We start from the raw sequence: 20,889 nt of genomic DNA, 5'->3' as shown, positions 1-20,889 counted from the left end.
TACTTCAATTGAATGAATAAAAAAGATTTATGCTTTTACACACTCAATCATTTGTTCTGGAGTCCAGAGGGAAAATACCTAGATTTCTTTTCTACTTTTTTTTTTTTCAATTAGGCTAGGGTAAATCAAATTCTGTTCAAACTATTCAACATGAAGGACCTAAGTTGTGCTGATTCAGTTTCTATCTCTCAGTGCTGCCAGGGAGCCTAGAGCCTATGCCTCTGAACACCACACTGTGAGATGCAAGCTGAAATAAACCACTCATGAAACCATGGCGATCCCCTCCCAACTTCAGGAGTTGGCTGCTCCAGTGCACAGAGCCAGAGAAGCACATTCTGGAATGTACCAGGGCATATAGAAATATACCTTATCTCCCTATATTCAAACTCATGTGTCCTCCCGCCTGAATAACTACTGCCTGAGGTTGTCCCGATTATCAAGCCAGGTAGCAAGTCATTTAGTAAGCCCTGTCCCAGGCCCATATGGGCCTCAATCCTTTGGCCTTCCACGGATTCAACCAACCCATCTCCACTTACATCAATCATGGTCCCAGTTCAGTCCTACAGCATTCCTGTGCCTCTGCCCTGGGTTTTTTCTTCAATTCTACTCTAAGCCCTAAATTTGCTTGTCCTCTTTCTCAGGGGTGGCCATCCCGTTTTCTAGCCTGCAATCTTTCTTCTCTGTCCTCTGGTCTTTTGCTCCTCTGTTCCACCCACCCAAACGCCTCCCCTGCTGCCTGATTTCATGGGGGAGGAATGCCCTTACTCACACCTCCAGACCTGTGGGCTTGTCAATAGAATCCTAGTGGCTGAGGACTCTTGGTTAATTTAGGACACGGAAATGTGTACAAGAGAGAAGTCAGTAACTGGCAAAAATGTATGTATAAAGGAGGAGGAAAAAAATGCAAGGATTACTGAATACGGGAAGAAAATAACTAAGTTTTTACTTTTCTCACACAAAACACTTATCTGCTCTCCAGACCCCAACCCTGACATAATTCCTAAACAAAAAACTTTTAAGAGCCCCTGCTCAAGAGTTTTCAGAACAAGTCTCAATTCATTTTTTTACTTCTCTAGCATGTGTGCCATGGCTGACTGAGTAAATCTGGGGTTGCCTGAAGAGGTCACTGAGTGCATCCTCGGCTTTAAACAGTTTCATACACAACCACTTCAGAGAGGTGAGAGTTCTCTAGTTTTTAAAAAGACCACTTCAGAAGAACAAGCTACAGTCTCACTAAATAGACCATTCTGATGACTAAACTCTCCTTGCCAAAAGGAGAGTAAAGACCACATCTCTCCTTTAAGTCTAACTTAAATTCTTCAAGCAACACTTTAAATCCTTTGTTTCATTTTCTTCAGACCGGGAAGAAAATGGAGGCCAACTGAGGGCTGCAGGGCTGCTCTGCCCTCTGGCTCTGTCTCCTTCTCCCCAAACTTACACACAAACCTAGAATGTTCCTTCCACACTGAATGAAGCAATGAGGTGTGAAACCATTATTTGTTTATTCTGGGAGTGACTCACCAATCAGTATAACTTTGCACCCTCCTCATAGGGAACTGATTTCCACCATTCCCATCAATTTGTTTATTAATATGGTCTGTTATCCTTGTTGAGATTAGATTTGTCTAAAACTGAAGGATGCCAGTGGTCATAACAGCTCACAGCTTTCCAAAAGTGTTCCTTGTCACTTTCTAAAGCAGACACTCTTGCAATCTATTATTAGCAAATAATTTCCCACTTTTTTTTTTTTTTTGCATCTTTTAGCTTCTCACCATTTCTCCTTGAAATTTCAACAGTGGCAGCTCGACTTGAACTTGAGTCAGGTGGCGGCCAGCACCCTTACTCTGTCCTTTAGTCTTGCCCTATTCTAACAAATTCTTCCTTTCTCTTTTGGCTGTTTTCAGTTTGTTTATTCTTTGGACCATTTTTTTTAAAGTAAGAAATCCCTCTTCTATCCTTGGTGCTGGTCATCTGTTCTCTCCCTTTTCCCAAGTGAAGCTACGATAGCTTCATTTACCCTTCTTGTAAATCTTTGAAAGTTCTATTTTGCACAAGTTGCATTTCTTTTTTCTGTCCTTTTTACTTTGTGTCTTTGCTACTCTGTCTTCAACAAATTATGTCTATATATGTTCCATCTAACCCTCAAGGCCATTCTGTGATGCAGGTTCAGTTACTATTGCCACCTTCAAAAGAGGAAAGTGAGGCTCAGAGAAGAAAAGCCTTGCCAGAAGCTCCAGGCCAGGGAGGAGAGGGCCTGGACCTGTCCCTTCTGAGGTGTGCCTTACCCACAGGGCACTCTCCGCCCCTGCTGCTCACCCTGCATTTCAGCAACTCCATTTCCTCCTCTCGGCCCCACTGCTTCTGTCTTTTCATTTCCTGCTGTGCACTCCTTACAGTCCTTTGCACTGATGACTTATTCCCATGGAATAATGTGATGAAATATGGTACCCAGGTTATTCCCTTTATCCACGAATTCCCCTACCTTTTTATATTGTTTCCTAATGTTCTCTACATACTTCATTTATTTAATGCTGTACACTACAAATTAATGAACAGCCTGTCACCACATATGAAAGCTGGCTGGTTTCCTTCCAGAACCATGGAGGGTGGTCTCTAAACTCAGCTCTGTGAAGAGCCCTCTCTTCCCTCCATGTCTCCTTGGGCACTTCGGTCTTGTGGAATCCTCTCCCTCCTTCACTTCCTCTTCTCAAGCCTCTCCTTTGTGTCGTGCCTGGTTTGTCATGTAGGCTTTTGCATCTTTTTTGCTTTCTTTACAGTAACCTATCACTCCTGTGGCCTCTAGCCCCACTGAGGAGCATTCAATCTCCCAAATCATCTCAGTGCCCACGTCACATGGCTGTTCCCGCCTGTCCACAGGGCTGCATCAACTGCTATTTACAAGCAAAGCAAAGAGGTTTTCTAGGGTTTTTAAATTTCACAATTCTGAAATCATATTTTCTAAATTACATCCTGAAGGAAAAGTAGACTGAAAATCATGTCAAACATGATAAAGGGCAGGGCCAGGACCCATGGGCTATGACAAACCCGCCCCTGACTCCAAGGTGACACCTGTGCTGGGGGCAGCTGGGACCGAGGGCAGGACTTTGAACCAAAAGACAGCTCTGGGAACCCATCAGTAATGCCAACCAGATACTGGGTGATCTCCCACCCAGGAAAACCCACCAACAATATGACGTCCGTAAGGGACAGGATACTGACACTGTTTTGAAGGCACGTGTGCTATTCTTCACTCTCCAGGAATCGGCCTGACTTTCAGTTCTCTAAAGATGCCCTAGCCACGATGGCTCACAGCCTCTAAGGGCAGCTGCAGGGATTCCAGGGAGAGCCCATCTCTTTCTCCACAGCGACCCGAGCTGGCCTCCTCACTCTGACATCCAGGCTCTCTGTTCATTTACATGGTTAATGGATCATTTCTTCTGGTTCAGTCCCTGAGCCTCTGTGTTCTTGGGCAGGGTGTGAGCATCTGTTTGCTCCTGTGTTAAGCAGGAAGAACAGTACCCTTGGCGCTGGGTGCTTCAGGGACTAAAAAAATCAGGGAACATCACCACCCAATGACTATTCCTGTGCCACTTTTGCAAACTTTTATCATATCTATGTACTACTATTGACTTGATGTTTTTATTTAAACTGATTTTTTAATTTATATGAATGTGTTTTGAAAGGAACCCTCGTAGTGGTACAGTGCATGGTAAAACCAGTATCACTTGCAATACATAGAAGACAATCTCAAAAATAAATACATAAATTAAAATGAAACATGATCCTTTGCATCCCAACTTTGGAAAACCCTGAAATGATATATGTATCTTTCTTTGGTAGAATAGAGTAGATAATTCACAAGTTCATTTCTCTTCCCCTCTACTTTCCACATATAGTAGCCATTTTCCAATAGGGTAAAATAATTCATAAATGTACTTGTTTTCTGGATTCATCTACACCAAATGGCTTTAGCCACCATCTTTATCTGTTTGTGCCATTAACTGTGCTGCTGAGTTAAAAAAAAAAAGAACCATTATACCTAGTCCACTTGGTTTCTAAGACACATAAAAAACATACAAAATATGTTTTCTTTACTTTTTCTTTTTTTTTTTTTTTTTTGAGATGGAGTCTGGCTCTGTCATCCAGGCTGGAGTGCAGTGGCGCAATCTCGGCTCACTGCAAGCTCCGCCTGCCGGGTTCACGCCATTCTCCTGCCTCAGCCTCCCGAGTAGCTGGGACTACAGGCGCCCACCACTACGCCCGGCTAATTTTTTGTATTTTTAGTAGAGACAGGGTTTCACCGTGTTAGCCAGGATGGTCTCGATTTCCTGACCTTGTGATCCGCCAGCCTCGGCCTCCCAAAGTGCTGGGATTACAAGCTTGAGCCACCATGCCCGGCCCAAAATATGTTTTCTATACATGTAGATAAAATTCAGTTATCACATTTTCCCATTATTGCATTAGGATGTCCTATAGACATACAGTTGTGATTCTCATAAGCCTGAGAATTTTACATACATGTTCCCTCCTTGGCTATGGGGGCTTATGTAGCTGACCCACATTGATCCAGTCTACCTCATTTTACCTGTATGTCCTTCATATTCTTTTATGCCAATAGGTAGCTCTCAGTATCACAGCTCTTTCTCTTTTTAAAGAAGAAAACAGGTATTCCAGGGAACTGTTGACTCATTAGCTCATTAGAACATGGTATAATGGAGCGAGAACTAGTTTTTCAGTCAGAAATTCAGTTCAATTCTGACTCTGTCATTTCACCTTGGTTAATTCACTGAACTTCTCTCCGTCTTTGGTTTCTTGAAATAAAGAGGGTGGGTGAAGTTTTCCAAACACAAACTGTCGCATGTGTAAGTTAACCAGTGGAGTTGCAGATGGTTTCACACACACTTTTTTATGGAAAAGGTATGTAAATGTGTGCTTTGATTTTTTTCTAACATTTAAAAATTACCATTTATGAAACTTTCTATTTTCAGTTAAATCTGAAATTTAAGAACTAGAGATTAGAGGGATAACATAAAATGGCCAGATGTGGCTTGTTCTAACCCCAAACACTGAAAAGCACTGTTGCCAAAACACGTAAGTGTGTAATTTTCACGATCTACAATCCATAACATTTGATATTCCTGCAAGTGCAGTGAGGACAGAGGACAGTGACAGAGACGCGTCCCTGGGCAGGATTGCTCCTCAACTTGGACATTTTGCGGGGTGTGTGGCTCTCACGGCCATGCTGGCCTGTGAGTGTCCATCCTCCCACACACCAGAGGACCCCCATCCTGCTGATCTTTGTGCCATATTTCTTTAATATGCCAGTTGAGGGAACACAATGGATAAAATGACTTGCATCCCTTCATCACTGTCTTGGAAAAATACAAAGAGATAAAGGTTTCACAGGCACAGAGGCCGCTGGTGACCCACTTACCCACGACTCTGTCACTCTTGGAGCTTTGCTGTCCTCCCGAGGTGGTGGAGAGGTCCTCGGGGATCGGCATGGGCTCATCGCCCTCATCTGGAGTATCGCTTACAGGGGGGCTTTCCTTCCCTGATGAGAAAGAAGAAGTGTGAGTCTCGGGCGGTCATGGTCAAGGTGCCTGGGCTTCCCCCGGCTTTTGGCTTGAGAGGGTGGCATGAGGAGGCAGGTACTGGGTGGAGCCAGTGCTTCTCTGCTGGGATGCATATACCTTTTTCTTTTTATAAAAAAAGTCACTTCTCCCCACACAATACAAATGAGAGAACATAGATGTGCAAAAGGGAAGAAATACAATCACCTATAATCCCAGACACTGCCACTCTTAAAATCATCTTTATATACTATAAATAATATGAGGTGACATTATTTTGTTTTTCAAAATGAACTAGCTTTTAGACATTCTCATGTACATATTTCCATGCTCAGGGTCATATTTCCATAATTTCATGTATAACGGGTACACTAGGATTTATTTAAATTCTTTTCCTATTTTTGAGTCCACATTGCTTTCTGTCCTTTTATAATTATTAAACAACACTGTAATGAACATCCTAATAGCCAATCTTTGCACATATTCCTAATAATCACCACAGTATAAATATCTAGACATTTTATCACTGCATAAAAGGCATCTATATTTTTAAGGTTCTTCCTATCTTTTGTCAACTCTTCCCCCTGTAAGCTTATTCCAATTTACCCCCACAATGAGCTTGCCACACCACACCCTCCTGTCAATTTGTGTTTGAGGATACCACACCAGGTATTCTGCTTAGAGCTATACATTCTGCCATCTGCTCACTTTCTTTGCAAGAACCAGGGAATATCTTACCAGCTGCTTAGTTTGACTTAACTTAGTGGGGAAAAGAAGACTGGACAAGGAATGGAAGGGAACCCCATGCCTACTGGGAAAATGATCCCCTCTCCGCATGCAAAGGGAGTCTGCTAATACAAATTCTTCTCTTTGAAATAGGAAAATAAAATATAATCCACACAAATACAAAAATTGCTTATACTATACAAAGTAGGATTTACAAAATGAAATCGGGTTTTACAGAATACCTGTATTTATTTTGACTGGATTAGAATTATATTTGACCAAAGGTTCTAGCATTGGGGAATCACTCCTACTCTGAGGAATCTAACCTTCCTTGGGAAGCCATAACTAGTAGGAAATGCTCTTTTCTCCACTGAAGCTGCAACTCCTATAGTTTCCGCCCTTCCAAATCTAACTTAAACTTGAGTTGAGACACAACCCACATGCAAGAAACAGATGATGTGAACTTATGCAGTATAGCTACGTGTGGAAGACCATTTTAGATGAAGGTCCTGAAGAAGTCTAACAAAACAGCAACAGCCTGGGAGAGTGTGCCTGCTGACTGAGCTGGCAACAGGCAAAATGATATGAACACATAGACAAACCTAGATTTTTGAGAGTGTGTGCAAATGATGAACCAAACATTAAAATGTCTGAAAAACATGACTAGGTATTGTGTGAAATGTCCTTGTTTGTTTGAATAAACCTTCCACAAGAGTAATACCAGCATTTCAGACGACTGGCAAGACCAGTAAAATCATCCTCAGTATATAAAACAACCCTTCCTGGAATATTTAAAATAGAACCTGCACAGGCACCAAGCCTATGCTCTGGGGAATACTACTTCATTCTCTGGAAAACAGACATCACAATTTAATATTCCAGCTTAGCTGTAATTACCACAATTGGCATATTTTCAGAAAGAGCATTATTGGGTATATTTGGATAGCCAATACAAAATGAATAGTTAAAGACGGAGCAGGATTATAAGAATTTCCCAAGGAAAAACAAAAGGCCAGAGAGACATTGAGTGAAAGTGTTCATGTTATGCTAAAGCCTTGGCAATGTGCATTAAGTCACTACTATTTTCACTGCTGTAAATAGAATTTTTTTTTTTTTTCGAGACAGAGTCTTGCTCTGTCACCCAGGCTGGAGTGCAGTGGCGCGATCTTGGCTCACTGCAAGCTCGGCCTCCCAGGTTCAAGCCATTCTCCTGTCTCAGCCTCCCGAGTAGCTGGGACCACAGGTATCCCCCACCATGCCCAACTAAATTTTTGTATTTTTTTAGTAGAGACAGGGTTTCACCGTGTTAGCCAAGATGGTCTCGATCTCCTGACCTCGTGATCTGCCTGCCTTGGCCTCCCAAGCGCTGGGATTACAGGCATGAGCCACTGCGCCCGGCCTATAAATAGAAAATGTTTAAAGTAATAATTGCTAAATATCTTAGCGTTTTCACCTCTTTCATAAATGGGGAAAAACTCCAAATAGGAGAACGCAGGAGGTATATGAACCACCTCACAACTCTTATTTTTGTATAAGATGACTTCCTAGAGCAATGGTGTTCAAACTCCCAGGACTTTATGAAGGTTGTCAGAGGAATTTTTTTTTTTTTTTTTTGGTGGCAGCGGGGGGTTGGGGGGTGGGTGTGGGGGTAAGAATAACAAAATAATCTTACACAGAACTGTAATATACACATAGGTCTCCTACATAAAGCAGGGAGCTTGCAATTTGGGGAGGCAGGGACCCAGGCCACTTGCCTTCTTGAAGACCTGCTAAAGTACCTTCATAGAAATGACCATGGAGCCTTCTGGCCTGACATGCTATCCCAATGAGTAAACATGTACAGGGCGTGTGGGGTGTGCACGCGTCTCATGATTAACCAGCTGTCATTATTATGGGGTGGAGGTGGGAGGTTGAGAAACTAAACTTTATTGACTCTTTTCCTCCTATAGCTTTTCCCTGCGATCATGCTGGAGCACTGCAGGATGCTCTGAGACACCCTTAGATGCATGGGGCCCTGGAACCAAGTGAGGATCATAAAGAATCAGGACTTACCCAATGAAGAAATGTCGTACTTTCCGCTCAGTGCATGCTAAAATACATCCAAATAACTCTTAGTTACTTTTATTAAAAAATTTAACTGCTGTATCTATGAGAAAACAAGATCCACTACAATTTGTTGAGGATGGTTCATAATAACAGGTACGCTTCTTAAGAATTACATCTGCCTTCAGTTCCTGCACTGAACTAAATGTCAGTGCTCCAGTGTCCCTGATCTTGCATCTCAGGACATTTATTTTTTTCAACATGGGGGAGAAAAAGGAATAATGAAACAGTAGGGATCGCAATTCTAAAATACCATGGGTCAGACTGATCAATAGGAACTCTCTATGCAGAAGAAACCACATGGGGAGAAGGGAGAATAAAAAATCAGTCTTGGTATGTACAGGGGCATCTAGTAAAGAGTCAGAACTGGATGGTAGTGAAGTGAGATATATTCACATGCCCACCAAGGGCCCTGTGTTAATTCAAGCTCGCCTTGCCTGAACTCAGTGATAGTTCTTAAGAGGTTGTCTGATTTGCCTAAAAGCCCCAAAGTGTAAGTCCGGGCTGCTGAGACTTTCATCCCTCACGTGAGCCTCTGTACCCAGGGCCCCTCATCTTCTGTGACAGCTGAGGATCTCCATGATGAAAAGTTATCACTTCATGAAACCCATCATGATAGGCACAGTATTTTTATGCACTGATTTTAAACCAATTTGCCTGGTTAACCATTTAAAATGTAAAAGTATGCAAGGATTATAAAACACTAAAAAATAAATGACTAAATCAAGCCAACAGGCATCTCAAATACTAACACACAGTGACTAGGAGTTAGTGACCCAGGACATAGTTCTGGCTTTCTGGCTTGACCAATTAGTTGTAAGACGAATGGGAACATGAGACTGGTCCCTTTTTTAAGACTCCTTTCCTCAAGTGGAAAAAGGAGGCTGAAAAGCATGATTTTGGTCTATCCCACAGGGTTGCGGTGAAGATAAAATAAAAATAATGTGCATGGATTCTAATATGCTAAGTAAACTTATGGTATTATTTGGTAAACTATATGCACATAGAAACATAAGGTATATATTGCGTCAAGCTCCCACACTTTTCCTAAGAACATGTACAATGACATGCAAACACACAGAGACGGAGACAGCAAGACATCAAGTGTTTAAATAGAATAATTTAGAAGATGCAATACAATTTCACTTATTTAGAAAAATGAAATAAACTTCTGGTTAAATTATAAAAATACACATTTACACTTAACTTACCTATGGCCTATGTTTCAAATAAAGCATTACCTATGAGAAGTGTTCTGGGAAAACTGGATGAGATATGGTATAATTAGCTTATAAAATGTAAGCAAATAATTTCTCAAGTAGATTATAATTCACTCAACAAAGTTCTGTCATCCCGCCTCTCCTAAATGCATGAGGTTTTATTATACACAATTGCCCAAGAGGATATAATTCTCTGGGTAAATACAAGCTCAAAATATAGAATCTCAACTCTATAAAGTAGTGGAGAAGCTTCCACTCTAGGGTCCAAGTGGGGATCACACCCCAGAGCAATCTCTGACTCCCTGTTGGACTTCCGGTCAGTTGCTTAAATTCTCTGTGTCTCAGCTCCCTGCAGGTTGGAAATGATAACTGTATTTTCTTCTGTGGGTCCTTGTGAGGTTGAAAGGAGAAAACACTTTGGGTAATGTTTGGTAAATACAAAGCATTTAATCAATGTGATTTACTATGCTTAACTTGATAAAATATTCCCATTGACACTGCAATATATACAAACCTTCTTTACGTAAGCAGATTATATATATCTAAAGGTTTCCATATCCTTTAGATATATACAGTTTATGTTTATGTTTATGGAAACAAACTTCTGGTTTCCATATCCCCAAAAAAACACACTACAAATAGCATTAAACCAATATCCAATATCTATTTAGGGTCACAGGTGCCAGAGGAACCTTAGAGATCAACTGGCTCAAGTCCCTCCTGTTACAGATGATACTATAGTGGTCCAGGAGGCAAAAATAACTGTCTCAGGTCCCATCGTGGGAGGTAGAGGTGGGATGCTGATGCAGATCTCTCAGTTCCCACATCCTTCACTTTCCCACCGGCTGACTCTTTCTTTAGAAACCAAACCAAAAAATAATGCATAGGTATAACACGTATTTTTGGAAAGACTGCCAAAAACACAAAAGGAAGAAAAATACGCTTTACCCAAAGAATTAGTGAGACGTGCCCTAAAGGAAAGGGTAGCTTGCTTTAGATATGCTCTCCTCCAAGTCTATCAGTAGCATTTTCTCAGTACCCTGTGGATTCAAGTCAGTAAACACTTATGGAGTGTCTACTACTACACATCTGTGAGACACTGTAAACCAGGGTATAGCCCACATTTAGGATAAATCTCAAGGAACAAATAACCCAGTGCTTTGAAAAAAAGCCAGATATTAAGTATTTATCTGTTTATCTAGCATTTCGCATACATTAGGTTGAATCCTATGAAATTGCTGATACTTTAATATTTTATGGGAAAAGAGGATGATTTAGGAACATATTCTTGTTAAGATTTCTTATAATCTATAACATAATCTTGGTAAGATTTCTTACCAAGAATGTCAACTCCTATTTGGTTAAATGTACATCCTTATGCCATAACTAACTGTCATTTCTTCCAACTTTAGAAATGAAAAAAACAAATACTGGTTTTAACTGGAGAAGCAGAGATCAAACTCGAAGAAGTAGAAAAAGTATCCTTTGATTCTTTACTAAAAGTGACATGACTCTTTAAGTGCTCTCATCATTACGTAGAGTGCTCAAAGGTTAACAGGAATCAAAAGCAGTATGAGTGTTTTAGAAATAGGAATCCCTTTGGTAAGTGTACACAAACTAAATTTCAGACCAAATCATTTCAAACAAAAACAGAGTTTCCTTTTTCAGGAAGTCTTATGTAATAAGGTCTCCATTCTTGTCCCCGCCCCCAGCTACCCTATCCTTTGAACAGTCAGGGTGCAGAACAAATTACTTATTTTGTATTATGGTAAAGACAAGAAAACTACCAGAGGAGAATCAGGCTTTTGTTAGTTTCGTTACTAAGATACGAGATCGGAATACTGAGGGGCTATTCCTTATATAAACATTCTAGAGATGAATTCCTAGGTGTCAGCATTCAGCTTTGACTCTAGAATATCAGAGTGTAGACTCCTGCATTGGCCAAAGGGGTCTCATTTTCTTTAAATGCACCATGCAAAATACCAATTTAGAAGCTACCCAAAGTGAAAGCGACAAGGAAAAGAAGAGCAGAACAATGAAAGCATCTTTTTGGCCTCTGGAAATTTTTAACATGCTTGGGTTTTTTGACACCCTAATCACTTCTAGTCACAGTCAGCAAACCCAGTGAATGAGATCCTCTTCCATGAGTGAGGATTACAGTCCTCATCTACCAGTGTTTCCCAGACCAGCTCTCTGAGGCTGCAGTGAGAGGCTGGCGAAGCCAAATGAGAGGCTATAAAGAGCTAAACTGCTTTTTTTCCCATTTAACTCGTTTTTTGTTTTTGTGCTTTTTTGTTTACGAAACAAAGTAAACGCTTAAGGAAAATAAATTCAAATAATGCTAAAAGGTAGAAGATGAAAAGCAAAGTTTTCCTTCTCCTCCTCTTCCCTAACTCGTCCCCTTCCTTCTACCATCAGTCTTCCAAGAGGAAGTCCAGGTTAATAAATATCACCCAAGAATTTTCCTAAACGTTATGGGCAAGCATATAGAAAATATGTATGTGTATGTAATTTATTTTCTTTTAAAAGAACGAGATCATACTTTGCATACCATCCAGAACCATGCTATTCTCACTTTCACATGTATTTGGACTTCTTTTCATACTAGTTCATTCATATCCTCCTTATTTTTAAGAGCTGTATGTGGAAGTACATGGATGTACCATAGTTTTAAAATACTGATAACAATGCTGCAGTGAACAAATGCTTAAATGCTCTGTGCACTTGTGAGAATATACCTCTAAGGTAAGTTCTTCAATGCAAAATTGATATTTGTATTTATACCATTTTTGTTTATATAGATAATCACAAACTTTTGGACACATTTTCACTTTTACCAACTGTACCATGAAGTGCCTGAATACCACATTCTAAAAGTTAAAAAGCCACATGTTCTCACTCACATGTGGAAACTAACAAATGCTGCTGTCATCATTATAAGTAGAAAGTAGGACAGAGGCTAATAGAGGCTGGAAAGGTCGGGGGAGTGGAAGATAGGGAGAGATTTGTTAAAGGAGACAAAATTACAGCTAGGTAGGAAGAATAAGTTCTAGTGTTCTACACCATTGCAGGATGACTGTAGTCAACAATAATATATAGTTTCAAATAGCTAGAAGGAAGATGTCGAATGTTCCTAATACAAAGAAACGATAAATGTTTGAGATGATGAATATGCTGATTTACCTGATCCGATTACTATACATTGTATATATCACAACATCACTATGTACCCAATTATTTTGTGTCTATGTACACAATTATTTTGTGACGATTAAAAAAATTAAAAATTAAGTGAAAATATTCAATGATATACAAAAAGAGAATTATATAATTCTCATTCATGAGAATTATATTTAAGATATAAATGTGAGAATTACACAAAGAATGTGGCAATTATATTGTAATAAATACGAAGCCTCACTCTAAAAGAAAAATAAGCTAGCCTTTTGTTTGTTCTTTGCACCTGGGAGAGTTTAAGTCCAAAATCTGAAACATGAATAGAGCGGCTGAGGAGTGGTGGAGAAGGAAGCCTGTGATTGGCAGATCTATCTCCAGTTCCATGGAACTCAGAAGATCCTCTCCTGCACCTTCCCCAGGGAAACCACCAAGCAGGGGAGCAGCCACACATAGGTCCTGGTCTTCATCAGGAGCACCAACTTGTAGAATCCCATAGAAACTTCAAAACACGAGGGCGCTCAGCCAAGGCAAGGTGCCACTGAGAACTTTCTCAAATATAAGTCAGCCTCTGGGGCTGGCTGTGAGTCTGTGAGGCTCAAAAATATGAAATACCGAAAACCCCAAAGTCCATGAAAGCTGCTACTGGGGCTGACGCCTCTGGATACAGGGCCAGATAGAAAGCTGTCTTCCTATGTCCATGCACTGGGGAACTGTGCGGTTTTGTTGGACTGGCTCGCCGTCCACCCTCAGTGCTGCCAAATGGTCACAGTCTGTGACCTACCCTTAGGCTTTTCCTACTACAGACTTCTCCACTTCCTGGGTCTCCTGGATGAGAAGAGCTATATCCAATACGGCTTGAAAAGATATATGGCAAAGGGGAGCAATGTTGTGTCCATGCTTAATGAACAAACAGTCATGACTGTGCCCAACAATTATGTTTTTCAAGCTTCTCTCTCTCTCTCTCTTTAAGTACCATCATTGGCATGTGTTTGGGTTTTAAACCAATCAGCCATTTTTCCTTCCAACAGTACAAAAATGTATTTAACTCTTCCCGTTTTTTTTTCCTGAAGTTTAACAGTAAAACTAATTTCATCTTGGAGGCTTTCTGTTCAGCTCAAAGTGAGATAATTTGTAACAGGTGAAGGAAACACTCAGGCAAATTCCATCATGGTCTTTTCTTTTGCAGAATAGCCCCTATTCCTCCCCCATGAGCATACCAAGCACTGTGACTTCCGGCCCCAGGGAAGCTTTTCTCATGAACTTCCCACACAGCTATCTCATAAGGTCTCACCTGAAACTTGGGACATGTCTTGACCCTCATCAGCATCCATGGTCCTCAGGTTATCTGAGAAAGAGAGGAAGGGATTTTAGTTTAAAGCAAAAATACTAATAAGATATGAGAAAGAGAGAGAGATAAAGAACCCCTATGCTATTTAACAACAAGGTTATCTAGCAAGAATAATGCATTTTCCTCCTCACATACTTGCTGGAGTATCAGACTGGCACAGACCTTGATCCTTTTAAAAACAGCATTACAAAGATTTATAAAAATATCATTACAAGCACAGGAGGACCAAATTTGTTATTTATTGTTAATTTCCTACTGCATAATAACCCAAAATGCAAACTGACTGCAACAAAATTAAGCAGAAAATTAAATGGCCCTGGGTCATTGTAGGCACAGAATTCATTCTCTTGGCTGATCCATAGTTATGTTCTTTCTAATTTACTGAGCATGCATCGATGAACCTTGAGTCAGCTTGGTGACACGCGTACAATCAGCAATCAAAAAACGAAGCAATTTGCTGAAGAATGTCTCATTTACCCAGGCAGGGCTGCATATCTGAGCAGCAACTGCACTACCTCCATCAATAATGAATACACCTCCAGCCTGGCAGATGGGCAATGCGGGCGCTCCTGTCTTTGTCCCTCAATCTTTCTGGGCCCTTGCCTCAGCCTTCACCAGCACTCTTACACGGGGAGAAGTGACGCTCACTACGGCAGCAAAACGAGCCCAGGAGACAGCCCGAGCCTTCCTGTTTTGCTGACAGATGGCTGGCTTCTCAGATCGGTTTAAATTAAAAAAAAAAAAGAAAAGAAAGAAACAACTGGGAAGATGCTGCCCTTCGATGACCATAGTGAATGTTCCACAGAGTGTACTACGAGCCACAAACACCAGGGAGAGAACCCCAGCATCAGTGGAGTAGAAACAAAAAGGTGTTCTGTGTTTTCGCACTTGGGTCCTGGCCTGCCGCTCGGCAGTCTCAGGTGCCCCAAAGTGGATGACAGCTGGCAGCTCCACAGATAAGAAAGCTATGGCCAGCAGAAGGTGACCTCAAGGAAATCTGCTCATTTATGCTCTGGTATATGACTTTCAGGAGAGCTCCTTCACTAACCAGAAAATGCAGTCTATTTGTTGACTCTAAACCAGGTTGTCCCCCTGTCCCCCTTTTTATTTTTGGCCACCTCTGTCTCTGGTTCAGATGTGTGGATCTGAGCTGTGGCCTGCTTTCAGCAGAGACCTGAAAAACTGATGGATGATTCAGGGATCTTACCCTCTCAATTAGGCTGAAAACTGTGAGGGTAGAAGTGTTATATATAATATATCTATCACTCCATATATCTTTAATACCTTTTATGGTACATATGGAATATGTATTTTCAATTTCAGGAATATCAGTATTAGTCATGATGAGGATATACATGATAGTCACTTTTTCTGGATGGGAGGGGCTTTTATCTATTTCTAAAAGTGACATGAATTTTCAAGGTAGGTGTGTGGCTTAGGAGTACAGCTAGTGGCCACTGTACAGAAAAAGTATTTCAGAAAACAGAGTAAGCATCCACCAGCACACGGAAGCCAGACACACTAGCCCAGATGCAAGCATGTGACCAGCACAAGCATTTCCAAAAAGCAATACGTCAAGAGTCTCAGGTACCTTTACTGTAAAAAAGGGGAAAAGCCACGATTCTTCTGAAACTGTCAAAACAATGATAAAGAAGCAAGATAGACTCAAATGAGAAAAATCTTTGTAACAGCCGTGCCACACTAATATAGGAAGTTAGAAGTTAGTTCTCTAGTTTTCTGAAGATGTGTATAGTATTTTAGCGCGGCCTATCACACACCGGGTCTTAAATACCTCTGTATTGATTGGTGAAGCATACAGAAGTTAAATCTTGTCACAGCAACTATAACAACACGAAATTTTTAGAATGCTGACTTAAAACTTTTTGCTACATAAATGATACAATCTTTTACAACTTTTTTTAAAGGCAAGAAAATGCTCATAATTTCTACCACTTAGGACTACTATTTTTTCTGTATATTTATTTCTGTACTTTTTACAAAAAGAGGACACTAAACAGATTACAAATATGTTGTTTTAAAATATTTTTTAATTTAATACCACACATATCTTTTTATTTAACAAATACACACCACCATCATCATTTTACTGGCTACACACTAGTCAACTAATTTATATAACAAATGCCCTACTGTTGCATACTCAAGTTATTTTCAATTCTTAAAAAAAGATGTTTCCTAAGGCAAAGTCAAGGCTCTTCCAACCAACACCACTGGCAAACGCCCTTCCAGTGGAATGCGGGCTGAGCCTCTGAGTTTGCTGCATGGAGACAGAGGTGATCAATGCTAAGTCCTCTGGACACACTCGTCCTTTCAGGCGGTGAGATGTGAGAACAGTTTCAAGCCGGAATCCTGACAAACTGCCCTCGGCTGGTCCCCAAATCAAGCTCTGCTCTGTGGGAACCTTCTTACTTTTGCAGTCATTTGCAAACAGTCCCCGCACCAGTCTCCTGGAGGGAGCTAGGGGTGGGCAGCAGATCACACCACAGCGAGCACCTTCCTGGAGCGCGTCTATTGTCAGCAGCCAAGTCTGCAAGAGCCAGAGAGCTCTGCATTTTCGCACGTGGGCCTGCTGGACATTTCCACTCCATGCCCTATCACCACTCCTGCCCCAGCATGGAGACCTGTGTTTTGCAATCCATCTCACTTCCAAGTGCATACACAATTTCAACCACATTGTTTCTGACAGCAGGGGGCTTCATGGGCTTATGAGTGCAGTTGCTTGGGGGCTGGTGCTTAGGGGATCTCTTTGCTTGGGGTGATGTTCACCAAAATTTTTAATAATTTCTGAACAAGAGGCCTCAAGTTTTCGGTCTGCACTGAGCCCTGTGAATTCTGTGGCCTGACTCGTCTGACATCATAAAGGATGACTTGACGGGCACCTGAAAACTTCCCCAAACTCCAAACTTGCATCTCTTGAGATGAAAAAGCAGTGACTTTCTCGTAAAAGTGGCTTTGCTTCCAGAGAAAGGCTAAAAGAATAATCAAACAATGAGAAACTGTTTGAGGGAAAGGAAATGTGGCCTCTTCCAAGACAGCTTACAAAGGGGAGCCTGAAGTGTCTAGAAGGGCACTTAAGTCCTGTCACACTCCTTTGTTAGCACGTGCATCACTTCGGCTGTGTATTTTACAAAGCACTTACTGAGCCCCTCCTCTCCCACATGGAAGAAATGCAGAGTGCCGGGTAAAATATGGAATTTAAGCTTGATATGGCCTCAATTTAAAAGGAGCTCACATTCAGTAAAAGGAGTTAATCACAAAGCAAGCTAATGGCATGTTTTCACAAACTTTCACCTAAATGAAAAATCAAGATCAGTAGGTCTGTAAAGGGAGATGCCAGAAGGAATAATTATTTCACAGAAACGTACCGCAGTTTTCTACTTTGCCTGGGAAACCCAAACAATTTCAGGCAAGACCTAAAAGAAGCGATAGTAAAAAATACAACAATATCAGCAAACTACCTTTTACCTGTGCAATTCTTATGAACATGAATGCTTTTATTGTTTTTTTGGAGCATGCAGTTCTGAATCTTGCACAAGGGGAAATAGATGCAGAGATAAGTGCAGGGCCAACGTGACAGAAGCTGTCCATGGCTGTGCCTCTAGGAGCGGGGAGTGGAGTCTGCAGTCACAAGCCACCAGGCACCCTCCACTCCAACTCTGGACTGCTCACTGACTTGGGAGGTCTAAATCTCTGTCTGTCTTTCCTCTGCCTTCTGCATCTCTCCCTCCTCCCACACCTACCTCCCATCTCTTTCTCTGTCTCTCCCTCCCTCCCTCCGTCTCCCTTTGTCTGAGACTGTCTCTCTCTCAGTCTCTCTCTGTCCTTCTCCTTTCTCTCCCTCTTTCTGACCAAACAGTGTCAAGTAGGACTTACTTTCCTAGTCTCAGTTGGAAACTATTAGCATATCCATAACTTTACAAAGGAGGAGCAGAAGCCGGACTAGGAGCCGGGCAAGCCGGGCAAGCCGACAGCACAGGGGCCTCTTCCAGGCCGTGTGGGCCCTGCTGATTTACAGCCTCCGCTGACCCTGAAAGGCATCCCTGGGGGACCTTGGGCCTGTCCTGAAACAGCTTCCTGGACCCTGCCTTTCCTCCTTCCACACCGAGGCGGGACTGGGACCTGGCTGTCCCCTGGGGAGAAACATCCAACAGCCCTGGGCAGTTGCTGCTTCCAGGTGAGGAGCCTTGGCAAGACTGGCTGGGAAGTGAACTCATTCTGACTTCAGCATCCCAAAGGAGAGTGTGGCCAGAGCTCCACCGAACCTGCTGGGGCTCCTGTGGAGGCGGGTCTCAGGCCTCTGAGCTGCCTCCAGCTCCCCTCTCTTTTCTGACAGTGAATACCTCTCTTCACAGTGCTTGCCCTGACACAAGGAGTCTCTTCCATAATTCTGACAAGCTGAGTCTAGACAAATGAAGTAAAAATGAAAATGCAGATAGATGCCTGTCAAGAATCACAACTTTACTACTTTTCTAGCAGCCCAAATTTATAGCTGTTAAAAAGCCACTAAGTACACAGCGTGCCAAATTAACTGTACAAAGTACTGAGGGTCACTCAAAATTAGCCTGTCTGTTGGTAGCACACAGTAATTCTACAAGCTTTAAGAACAATTGTAGTTGCCGGGCGTGGTGGCTCATGCCAGTAATCCCAGCACTTTGGGAGGCCGAGGCAGGCGGATCATGAGGTCAGGAGATCAAGACCATCCTGGCTAACACGGCGAAACCCCGTCTCCACTAAAAATACAAAAAATTAGCCAGGTGTGGTGGCGGGCGCCTGTAGTCTCTGCTACTTGGGAGGCTGAGGCAGAAGAATGGCATGAACCCGGAAGGTGGAGCTTGCAGTGAGCTGAGATTGTGCCACTGCACTCCAGCCTGGGCGACAGAGCGAGATGAAAAAAAAGAAAAAAGAAAAAAATTATAGGTCTCTGAGACTTAAACAACTGCCTTACAATGTCTTTCTGTTGGTTTGCTTTTAAGCAAATGCCTTCCTTCTCCACTGGTACTCTAAGGGGGATTCTTTGTCCAGTGATATTTCATATGTACTGAGTATTTTTAGTGTGCCAGGAAAAGGCTGCAAAGAAAAGGATACTGGTACTCACTGGCTTTATCTAATCAACCTACTAAGTTTCTGGCATTGAAGAGGCAAATGGTTAAGCCTCATAAGACCATGGGTGTTGTCTGTCTTGTCCACTTGTTTATTTGAGCACCTGGCATAGTGTCCAATGTAGAGCTAGAATTCAACACCTACTTGCTAAATATGTAAATGTGTCTTTAACTCTCCCAATTAAACCCAAGGCATCTGCATCATTATCTCCATTTTATAGATGAGAGAACCAAGGCTAAGAGAAATAGCTTTCCCCAGGTCACACAGCTAATCAACCACAGAGCTGACACTTGAACCCGTGCAGTCTGATGGTGATGCCTCTTTCTCCCTAGCACTCTTGCCCATCAGAATGTTGCAGCCCAGTGCAGGGGTCGCACACTCCAAATGCATGACAGATAAGGATGGATGCTACTTATATACTGCTAGAAACTAAACATGATCTTTGTAATACTCTGCACTAAAGGCAAATTTCATCATAAAACTTCTACAGTAAAGTTCTGGTTATTTGGCCAAATGTATGCTATTTACTTTTTCCTCCCTGACAAGTGAAGCTACACTAGAGTTACATTTGGGGTTATTTCCTTAAATACTCAATGATGCTTATATTGAAGGGAGTAGATACATGGGGGAGACAGGGACCAAGCCTGTAATTTATTTAAAATGCCTTAGGTCACAGACCTCTTTAATAAAACCCATTATTCCTGCTAAGAGACAAGTCCTTTCATCTTCAGACTGGTAGATTTTACTTTTGCAAATCTATCATATCACTGTGAATTACACTGTATTTTAAAAAAGGAAATGCTTCAAGAGAAAGCTAAGGCAATGTGCAAAGTCTTTGTATCTAGTCAAAGAGACCTTATAGGTTTTCGTAACAATTTGACAAAACAGGTTGAGAGAACATAAAAACTTCCGAGCACTCTTATTTCATTTCTGATTCTTTTCATTTTTCAAAAATTAGCTGCCAATCTACACATTTTCATGATTATTCCACAGAGTATTGCTGGTGCAAATAACAATGAAAAACAAGATTTAAACAGGAAAGCAGGAATCCAATTTGGCTTTCACACCACCCTCCCCCGACATTTAACTGAGCCACAGAAAACTCCTCCTGCGGTTTGTTCCACTGTGAAACTTTTTGAGGGCAAATCAGCTCAGATGTGCAATTCTGTCCTAGCATTTTTTATTTTTATGGCCAGGAACTGATATGCAAAAGAGGAAGGGTCAAAGGGAACTAAGGAAACCTTTCAAAATACAGTTAAAAACTATGCTGTTTGAATGTTTTCTTGGTAAAGAGGTATTTGATACAGAGGGAAAAGAAACAGAACATTTTAAATGCCACAGTGGAGCCACCTGTTTCAAAGTGAGGTATAAGAAAAGATGGCAGATACTGTATTCAAAAAGTTGTTTTAAAAATAGAGAAAGTGGAGTTGGAGACAGTCCTCTGTGTTCACGTTTGTTGCTGCAAGAAGCCCAGGGCTGGAGTTCAAGCTGGCCATGACTGTCTGTCCTGACGTTACAGGCATATTGTATTGTCTCTACCCTCTCATAGGGGTGCACGGTTCACACGGAGAGGAGAGGCTTCCCGTCTATACTACTGTACCATCCACTCTTAAACTAATAC

The 20,889-nt window shown here is 41.6% G+C and overlaps 1 protein-coding gene across 59 annotated transcripts in view, besides 7 other annotated features; it reads right to left on the bottom strand.

Annotated features, from left to right (window-relative positions):
• IKZF1 (IKAROS family zinc finger 1) overlaps window positions 1–20,889 on the bottom strand; it is a 101,647-nt gene that overhangs the window by 71,910 nt on the left and 8,848 nt on the right. For 57 of the 59 annotated variants that reach the window (XM_011515058.3, XM_011515059.4, XM_011515067.4 and 54 more), the window contains 2 exons: window positions 14,091–14,144; window positions 5,435–5,554 (listed from right to left, as the gene is read on the bottom strand). In XM_011515058.3, coding sequence (XP_011513360.1) covers window positions 5,435–5,554; window positions 14,091–14,144 — 174 coding nt within the window. Of the gene's footprint in view, window positions 1–5,434; window positions 5,555–14,090; window positions 14,145–14,624; window positions 14,790–20,889 lie in introns of those variants that run through there. The other 2 variants (XM_011515060.3, XM_047419749.1) reach the window with 1 other exon arrangement.
• Window positions 14,377–14,488: an enhancer, noted in NCBI's record as "conserved acetylation island sequence 3". NCBI's record gives its function as "activates a minimal heat-shock promoter by reporter assays in Jurkat T cells {active_cell/tissue: Jurkat}" and the evidence as "EXISTENCE:reporter gene assay evidence [ECO:0000049][PMID:17135569]".
• Window positions 14,737–14,786: an enhancer, noted in NCBI's record as "active region_26000". NCBI's record gives its function as "activates an Ori minimal core promoter by ATAC-STARR-seq in GM12878 lymphoblastoid cells {active_cell/tissue: GM12878}" and the evidence as "EXISTENCE:reporter gene assay evidence [ECO:0000049][PMID:35858748]".
• Window positions 14,797–14,866: an enhancer, noted in NCBI's record as "active region_25999". NCBI's record gives its function as "activates an Ori minimal core promoter by ATAC-STARR-seq in GM12878 lymphoblastoid cells {active_cell/tissue: GM12878}" and the evidence as "EXISTENCE:reporter gene assay evidence [ECO:0000049][PMID:35858748]".
• Window positions 16,137–16,637: an enhancer, noted in NCBI's record as "H3K4me1 hESC enhancer chr7:50356151-50356651 (GRCh37/hg19 assembly coordinates)". NCBI's record gives its function as "activates a minimal SCP1, AML or CMV promoter by ChIP-STARR-seq in primed H9 embryonic stem cells {active_cell/tissue: H9 hESC(primed)}" and the evidence as "EXISTENCE:reporter gene assay evidence [ECO:0000049][PMID:30033119]".
• Window positions 16,137–16,738: a biological region, named in NCBI's record as "H3K4me1 hESC enhancer GRCh37_chr7:50356151-50356651".
• Window positions 16,399–16,738: an enhancer, noted in NCBI's record as "active region_25998". NCBI's record gives its function as "activates an Ori minimal core promoter by ATAC-STARR-seq in GM12878 lymphoblastoid cells {active_cell/tissue: GM12878}" and the evidence as "EXISTENCE:reporter gene assay evidence [ECO:0000049][PMID:35858748]".
• Window positions 18,192–18,692: an enhancer, noted in NCBI's record as "H3K4me1 hESC enhancer chr7:50354096-50354596 (GRCh37/hg19 assembly coordinates)". NCBI's record gives its function as "activates a minimal SCP1, AML or CMV promoter by ChIP-STARR-seq in primed H9 embryonic stem cells {active_cell/tissue: H9 hESC(primed)}" and the evidence as "EXISTENCE:reporter gene assay evidence [ECO:0000049][PMID:30033119]".

This window comes from Homo sapiens, chromosome 7 (assembly GCF_000001405.40).
Source record: "Homo sapiens chromosome 7, GRCh38.p14 Primary Assembly".
NCBI lineage: Eukaryota > Metazoa > Chordata > Mammalia > Primates > Hominidae > Homo > Homo sapiens.
Note: the sequence above shows the minus strand (reverse complement) of the source record. Positions and strands in the feature narration are given on the sequence as shown.